The sequence below is a fragment of the Homo sapiens genome, chromosome 8 (assembly GCF_000001405.40).
Source record: "Homo sapiens chromosome 8, GRCh38.p14 Primary Assembly".
Taxonomy (NCBI): domain Eukaryota; kingdom Metazoa; phylum Chordata; class Mammalia; order Primates; family Hominidae; genus Homo; species Homo sapiens.
Window position 1 is genome coordinate 5,067,917 of NC_000008.11, and position 6,113 is coordinate 5,074,029.

General features: G+C 32.6%; 1 pseudogene; it reads right to left on the reverse strand.

The window, feature by feature from the left end:
- On the reverse strand, positions 3,377–5,004 carry RSL24D1P7 (ribosomal L24 domain containing 1 pseudogene 7; annotated as a pseudogene).

The following is a 6,113-nucleotide window of genomic DNA, read 5'->3' on the forward strand; positions in this document are numbered from 1 at the left end:
TGTGTAAAATACCTTCCATAGTACGAAGCACTTAAAAGGATCTCAGAAAATGTGATTCTAATCATGAATATCTCCATTCAGGTTTTTAGTGTGCATGTCACATCATAATTGTCCTCAAGAATAAAACATGATTATTCTCTAAAGAGGACATGATAACTTACATTGTTCTTGAAACTCCAGGTAGTTTTCCCATTGATTATGCCTAAATGAAAGTCAAAGATAACCTTGAAGCCTCCCCTCTAATGTGAAAATTTTGGAAACTAGATTTCTGCAATTTTTCTAGAAAAGTATTTTTTTCAATTTTTTAAAAGTTTCAGTGGCATCTGGTATTGGATCTGCACATTTGATTCTGCTCTTCTGAGTATATATAAAAAAAAAGAAAACATAAATGACCCTGCTTAGAATACGCTAGTACCTGTGAGATCGCTGTAAAGCTAAGGAGTCTAGAGATGGAATTTAGAGTGCGGATATTCTTCATTTAGGCAACAAGAAGAGACCCTTGAACTTTCTCCATTAGGATTATTTCACTGAAGTCATCTGTGGATATTCATAAGATTCATGAACTCGAATGGGGAAAATAATTACACATTTATGTTCAATCAGCTTTAACTAACAGGTGGCTTTCCTTTCAATTATATAGACAACAAACCACAGAAGAATGGGCAGTATCTTTGTGTCTTACCAAGGACAATTACAGATATTTTCACATTATGTTACAAGCATTTTGAAACAATGTTTACACTCACCACTACTCTGAAATTAAGGTGTCATCTCCAGGCTATGTATTTTGATGAAAACACCACAGCCTCCGCATTTACTGGTAAATCTATAACAAATTTTACTTTGAGAGTAAAAGAAAAAAATGCCTACTTGACGGACATGCTCTATCTACAGGGGAAGCTTCTGTTCCTGATTGTGAACTATTGTAGCTCTCAGGTAGTGTCACACACACAGGAAATACTTCTTGGACTGCATGCTCTGCCAGCACTGACCACCAAGTACTTCCAGGTCAAGCTAGTCCCCTGCCCTCGCATCGCCAAAACTCCTCCCTTCAGGGTAGGTGTCTCAGCTTGAAATCACCATTACTGTGACTCGTTGTCCCTCACTCCTACTGAATTACCAAAGCCCTACAGGATGGATATAATGTTGAATTTTCATTTATATTGCATCTCAAAATATAGTGCAGTACCAGAATTAGAAACAAAAATGCAATTTAAAATGATAAATACATTTGGTAAATTAGGTAATAATTCATTACCCTCCTGCTTCTACCCCCCAGAAAAAATAAAGAAAAAACACAGGAAACATAGATGTGTGTGTGTGTGTGTGTGTGTGTGTGTGTGTGTATGTATGTATATATATATGTGTATATATATATAATATTATAAGATATAATATACTTACAAATTATATTTATAATATATATTATAGATAATCCTATATGTTATAATATCATATATTATATATCATACTGTGATAAGAATTCTTTCTTTAATATGTGAAAAACTACCTACTCTGACATTTTATATGTATGATATATAATATATATTTTAGTATATTACATATTATATATATTTACATATAATATATCATATATATATAAAATGTCAGGGTAAGTAGTTTCTCTCATATTGAAAAATAAATAATGAGGAATCCTTATCACAGCATCAAAACACAGAGCAACCAAATCAGTGTTTTTCACCGACTTGTAACCAAGAACACCTTTGTGATTAATATGAAAATCAAATGCTGTCTTCTTCAGTTGATAGTCTTTGATCTGCAGAAATTACAGTTTCTCCTTCAAGTATCTCTATTAGCCAAGAAAATTTTAAGATGGTCATTTTGTATATAATCAGTTTCATTTTCAATTTTTCAAATAGGTCTTATAAAATTGACTAAAAAATTGTATTCTACCCCTTCTCCTTACGAATTCCAAAGTGGCCAAGCGGTACTGCTCTGAATAGCACCATGAAAACACAGAAAGATGACATGTTTGTAAGGATGAACATTTGAGAAATCTCACCAGCATTCAAAAGGCAGGTAATAATCAACAACAAGCCAAGAAAGACATTTGCCTCCACCATACTGTAAATAGAGGTGGTACAGGGAAATGGTCGCAATAGTAGATGTACTTGTTATATTATTGGGTTATTATGTAAGGATGTGGCTTGGCATGATTTAGTATAAGAAGAGAACAGATAGACTATCAGCTTAACAAGAGATGGTAAAGCACTGTTGTTCTCCAAATAAGAGTTATTACATATATATATATGTGTGTGTGTGTGTATTATATACAATATTATATTATGTATTATATAATATATATAATTGCAAGATAATTAACTTTATGTATGAAAAACATTTTTAATATATGGACTTTCAAAATCTTAAAGTAAATTGCCAACATACATTTTTTAGATATTTCTGTTTTGATATCCTGAAAAGGAAGAAATACAACTCCTTCTGGCCTCAACAGAATTCTAACTAAAAGTTGAGATGGAGCGTGTCTTTTCAAAGTCCATCAATGACTGTAAAATTTAAAAGGAACTGTTTTTACTTGAAATAAACTGAAAATTTATAAAGTTTTATCGCCAACCTTTCAGGTTTGCTATAAAAGTTGAAAAAAATGCAAAGGAAATGGAACTTACACCTACTATTAACAATAGTAAAAATAGATACTCATATTTAACTAGAGCATTATGGGCTAGAAAGGAAATCGCTCCTCAAGAGGTTTTAAACATACACTTAGATTTTAAATTTCTGTGATTTCATCAGCATTTGGAATGTTATGAGGAGAAATTGATTTGTAAATAGTGGCAATGGAAGCTTTCCGGAGTTGAATACAGCCTACATTTCTCTTGTTTTAAAAAATGCGTCTTTGTCTTTCATTTTTCTTACAAGATTTCCTTTCAATAAAATATTTCACTCTGCTCTTATTCACCAATCACCTTGCTCTTTTTTCAGGTCTCACATTAATTTTCATGATGAAGTTAACTTAATGCCTTCAACATTTTAACTAACTAGTCCTACTTATTTAGTTTTAGAAAGTGCAGTATTTATAGTAGCATTCATTATGCTAATACTATTTTAAGTTTCATTTTGGGACTTAAACAGAATATTTGGAAAGAGTCTATTTTTTTAAAATCTAAAGCATTGGTTCTCTGTCATATGCACACTACAAAAATTATGAAATTAATTCAAATTAAAATCGATGTTCAAATAAAAATTATATCAATTTACAAAAATATGATACCCCTTTCAATTCTTTATGATTTAATCTCAAAACAAGTCTGATGTGATTCTTGAATTTTAAGATAATTTATTTAAGGGTGTCAGTAAATACTACAAACACCTCAACTTATTAGTTTTTTGTTTTTTACTTTTTAAATGATTTTATGTGCAAATAATGAACAGGTGTTTTACCCATAAATTCTACTTTCTAAAAACAGATGCTTTCTAAAAGAAAAACCACATAATAACTTTTAAAAGGCACTGGGATTCCTCTGCTTCTAGATCATTGCTAGGCTGGAAAAATAAAGTTGGTTCCACCAGAAATCACAAGTTAGAACTGAATATTCTCCAAAGTGGAAATTCTAGAGTGTAATGTCACTCCAGGCAAAGATTATTCAGTTCTCACCCCAACATCCACAACTCCCTATCAGAAGGGTTAAACCAGGTCAAAACAGTCCAGCATAATGAGGCTTCATCAAACAATGTCATTATGCTCTTCTAAGCTGCAAATAAACCAAAACAGGAAATACTAAAATCAAAATAATATTTGACGCTGTCATACAAATTGTTAATTCCTTGTTGTATCCTCCCTTCTACAACATTAATAAAGGGAATATTTTACTGCAAAGAAGATTTTATTTTATACATCACTAGCCATGAATTTTTGCCATTAGTTATTATACAAATGATGCCAGTGCCGTTATCCAAATGACATAACAATTTTACATCCACAATTCATTTCTATAGTGATAAGTAGAATTTTTATGATTTACTTAAATCATAAGTATCAGATGTACTGATAGATAAGTACATCTATCAGTGAAGATTTAACACTGAAATGCAATCTAACACCCGTAATATCTGATGTTTTGTACATGGCAATGTAGGAGACATATATTGTAATCACTTTTCATTTAAGTGACCTTATGTAAAAAATAAAGTTTTTTAACTTTAGAAGATAATCATCTGACTAAACACAATTTGATTATTTTTAAATAAACAAAACTTCGTCTAATTCAAAATATGGAATATGGAATCTATTCCCATAGTAGACATGTAGCAATTTCATTTTGGATGATCTTATCTCATTTCATTTACAAAAAAATGTATCCTTCACATTCCTAGAATAGTCTTTGTTAGTGCAAGTGGTTTAGTGAAAGTTTAGTAAACTGGTAAATTTAATAATTTACCAGTTCCAAGTCTCCAAAGGGCATTTTCAGAGATTTGTAAGAAACATCTTCTATCTCCACATCCTTTTGTAACTGCTGTACCATTTTCTCTTCCACCTGTTACCATTTGCCTGCAAGAGGGGTTTGGAGAAGATGGATGTTTTGCTTGACTTCTTTGATATCCTAAACTTTCTGTAGCTCTTTATTTTTCTTCCATCTGTTCATTATAAATTTAGCTTGGCTTTTCTGTTTGATCTCTTCAACTCTCTTCATTGCATCCATAGATTTATTCCATAGCTCTCGCTGGTATTTGATAGGTTTTTCAGATTCTACGTCTTGCAAATTCAAATGAATTATCCACTGTAAGATCTTTACCAGCTGCTTTCCGAAATGCTTTGGTCCACCAACTTTGCGAGGATTGCACTTCTTTTTAAAGTTTCTTATAACACTAAGCTTGACAAAATCTGAACAGCTTGCAATCACTGCAGACGAACATCATGCCATGGCCAGGGTAGATGGGCCCCGAACGGAAATAATACTTCTCGATAAGCATGTTGAACACGCCTGGGTCCCCACCAACCAAATGCCAAGCTTGAGAGGAAGTCAACTTATTACTTTTAAAGAGGGTTCTAAAACACACAGTTTATATTATTTGACACCCATGAAATGGGAATTGAACAAATTTCTTTGAAATAAATAGCTATGCTTCAACATTTTCAGGTGTCTTGGGTTTATTCAGTTCTCTTTATCTGGTTGGAACGCCAGTTTGCTCAGGGCAGGACTCTGTGGAACTCATTCACCCATGGGCCTTAAGCATCTGGGACAGTGCTTGGAACAAACAGGATCCCTGCTTGCTCTTTGGCTGCCTGATATTCTGAATGGACTGAAGTAAAACAAAGTGAGAGAGAAGAAAAAATACATTCCACTTTGTAGCTGCTTATTATAAGGTAGGCTCTCTATATTTAATATTTAGGAATATGTTTACTAAATTTTCACTAAGCCACTTGCACTAACAAAGACTATTCTAGGAATGTGAAAGATACTATTTTTTTGTAAATGAAATGAGATAAGATCATCCAAAATGAAACTGCTACATGTCTACTATGGGAATAGATTCCACATTTTGAATTAGATGAAGTTTTGTTTATTTAAAAATAATCAAATCGCGTTTAGTCAGATGATTATCTTCTAAAACCTGTGTTCCTCATAATTTGCCAAAATCGATGAATAATTTAATATATCTGTATTCTAATGGTTTGAGATCTGCCACGGATTTGAATATATTCCCCTTGTAGAGAGCAAGTTTTATCACACTGAAAAGGATGACTTAGTTTTTGGTTATCTTTTAACATTTCTGCCCTTCTGTAACAGCAAGCGTAGCGTTAAAGGCTTTCTTCTATATTAATGAATAATACAAAATCAATGCAGCTTGTATTATTAAATGTGCATTTTGTGAACATTTTGTTAAAGTAGACTTATTCCATTTTCTGCTGATGGGAATTTTTGGCCCTCGGTGCTAAAACCTTCAGCTCCGCTCTTTAACTCCACAGCAATAACAACCTCACCTCCCTCATGAGATTATTTCCTAACACCTTTATTATTCTTCCTGAAGTCTGCTTTGCTATTAACATAAAACCACTGAGCAAGTGGTTGAGTGTCACTTCTGTCGCTTAGTAAACGTATGACGCTTGGAAACTTAACTAACTTCTTGGG